General features: G+C 51.6%; 1 annotated feature.

Moving 5' to 3' along the window:
* Positions 553 to 1213: an enhancer, noted in NCBI's record as "H3K27ac-H3K4me1 hESC enhancer chr5:3079616-3080276 (GRCh37/hg19 assembly coordinates)". NCBI's record gives its function as "activates a minimal SCP1, AML or CMV promoter by ChIP-STARR-seq in naive H9 embryonic stem cells {active_cell/tissue: H9 hESC(naive)}" and the evidence as "EXISTENCE:reporter gene assay evidence [ECO:0000049][PMID:30033119]".

Consider the following 2632-nt stretch of genomic DNA (forward strand, 5'->3'; position numbering starts at 1 on the left):
CGTCATCATTTCACTGTGTATATATGTATATCAAAGCATCATGTTATACAACCTTAAATACATAAAATTAAAAATAAATTTAATAAAAAACTCTGATGCCATTCTTATTCCTGAAACATGACATTTTGATGAGAAATGTTGAAGAAGAAACACAAATTCAACACGACTCGGAGTACAAAACCCCTCGGGCCGTCATGTTTTCAGAGGACCGCTGTCTGGAAGCCTCATCCAGGAGATGAGGTTTGAGGTGGGCCAGGCTTCCTCCTCCTGCCCTGTCAGCCTTCCCTCCCCAGCCCACTCCGCCTGCAGCCTCCTGGGTCTTGCTCCAGGAAGACTGTCAGCAGAAGAGGAGGCCAGCAAGGATAGGAGGGATGGGGGATTTGAAGAAAAGCCCCTGCATTGGGGGCCCACTGAGCTGGGAAAGAGGGAGTTGCATGCGAACAAGTGCTTGTGCTGGCAGCCGTGAGGCACCAGCGCCGTAGAATCTGCCAGGGGAATGGCCCCATCCATGTCACATGAATGTCCTAGAGGCCATTGGAGGCACAGCCTGTGCTAGAAGCTGCAGAAGGTCAGAGGCTGCACCCCAGCTAGGAAATGCTCAGGGACATGTGTTTATTCCACATTTCCCCCAATCAGAGTTAGAGACCATATTATTGGGGCCTTGCTGGCTACAGGTGAGGACAGACTTGAGGACATAGTCATGGGAGCATGTGGCTGCCATGAGAAAGAATTTTAAAAACATAATTTTCCCTTCTCCACAGAATATGTTAAAGCTGCATCCATAGGCCTCCAAGGATAACTATGGGATCACGTCTGTCTGAGTTTCAATGGTAGAGGTCTCCTTAGGCCAGGCACGCCAGAAAATAGGTGCTGAGCCTGCATTTAAGAGGTGGCAATTTCAAGGAGTGTGATGCAGGGCAGGGGCAGGTGGGAAACAAGCAGTGAGGAAGGCGAGGCACAGGTTCAAGGTTGAGCACTTCTGATCTGGCCCAGCCGCACCAGGGAAGTCAGGGGCTCAGCTCTGGGCAGGGCGTGTGAAACCACCTGCTGAGAACAGCCCCAGGTGGTTGCAGAGGTTAGAAGGGAGGGAAATTTATCCGCTGGCTTCCAAGACGGCCCAGATGGCCCAGTATTTGCCCCAGGGGCCCTCCTTCCAGCACCTCCAGGCTGTGGCACTTACCCCTGGGTGGCTGGTCCCAGGTCCGTGGAGCCCTGGAGAGGTGGAGCTGCCAGGGCCTCTCCCTGATCTCCAGGGGGATCAGGGCTGGTGGCTTGAGTCCATGCTGAGCCCGGCCGTCAGATCCCCAGAGAGCAGGCAGCAGGGGCGCTGCATGGAGATGTCTGCACTGGGGCCTGGGAGGAACTGGAGGCTGCCAGAAACTGGACATGGAAATTAGGTCTAATAGAGAGGGGGAGTAAAACTCTGTGTCTCTCCTTCCACTTTCATTTATACCAGCTTACACATCCTCTGGTTTTGAGCTGATCTAAGTGGGTTTTCTGTCCCTGACAATGTATGCGATCCTGTTGGGTGCTGAGTTGGAAGAAAAGACACATGACTGTGAATATTCCTCAGCATGGCCCCCAGGAGCCCGGAGGCTGCAGGCGCAGCGGCCCTGCCACGGACCAGTCCTGTCGTGCAGTGCTGGTGCTTCTCAGCCCTGCTGGCAAGCTAAGGCCGAGGGTGTGGACACTGTCCAGACCCACCGTCCTGCAACACATGCTTGGGGGCCAAGACTCCGTGGCATGGCTGAGACCAGTGCTGAGAGGAGGGCTTGGCCTGCTGGAGGGGGAAGCAGAGGCAAGATCATGGTGGAGGTGGCTCTGTGAGAGGGATTGGGCCAGGTCCCAAAAAAAATGCACCTGCTTGCATGGAGGCTGTGCAGTGGGGGCAGTTAGATGAGTCAGATGGAGATAGGCAGGGGAGAGCCATGTTAGGACATGTGAGCCTGGTGTCTCCAGAGAGCCAGAACCTACAGGGTGAGTGTGCGTGGGCATGTGTGTGTGTGTGTGTCTGTGTGTGTGTGTGTACACAAGTGTATAATTTATTCAGCTTTATTTTATTTTATTTTAGCTGTATTTCAACGGATTGGCTCATACTGTTGTTAAAACTGAAGTCTGCAAGGCAGGTCAGCAGACAGGAAACTCAGGCAAGGGTTGATGCTGTGGTCCTGAGTCCACAGGCTGAAAACCCAGGCCGCATTCCTGTTTTGTCATCTGAAGGCAAAATTCCTTCCCTTTAGGAACCATCAGGCTTTGCCCTCATGGCTTTCCAGTGATTGGAAGAGACCCACCTGCATTATCATGGGTCATCTTCTTTATTCAGAGTCTTCTGATTTAGGCCAGCTTCGGTGGCTCACACTTATAATCCCAGCACTTTGGGTGGCCGAGGCAGGAGGATCACTTGAGCCCAGGAGTTCAAGACCAGCCTGGGCAACATACAGATGAGACACCATCTCTAAAAATGCCCCAAGAAACAAAAAACAAAATATTGTAATTTAAATGTTAACCATATTTAAAAAGCAACATCTAGACTAAGTGTTTGACAACAACTGGGCACCATAGCCAAGCCAAGTTGACAATTAAAATTCACTATCTCAGAGGAGGTTTGACTTTAATATTCAGGCTGAACATG

The sequence above is a fragment of the Homo sapiens genome, chromosome 5 (assembly GCF_000001405.40).
Source record: "Homo sapiens chromosome 5, GRCh38.p14 Primary Assembly".
In the NCBI taxonomy this organism is placed as follows: Eukaryota; Metazoa; Chordata; class Mammalia; order Primates; family Hominidae; genus Homo; species Homo sapiens.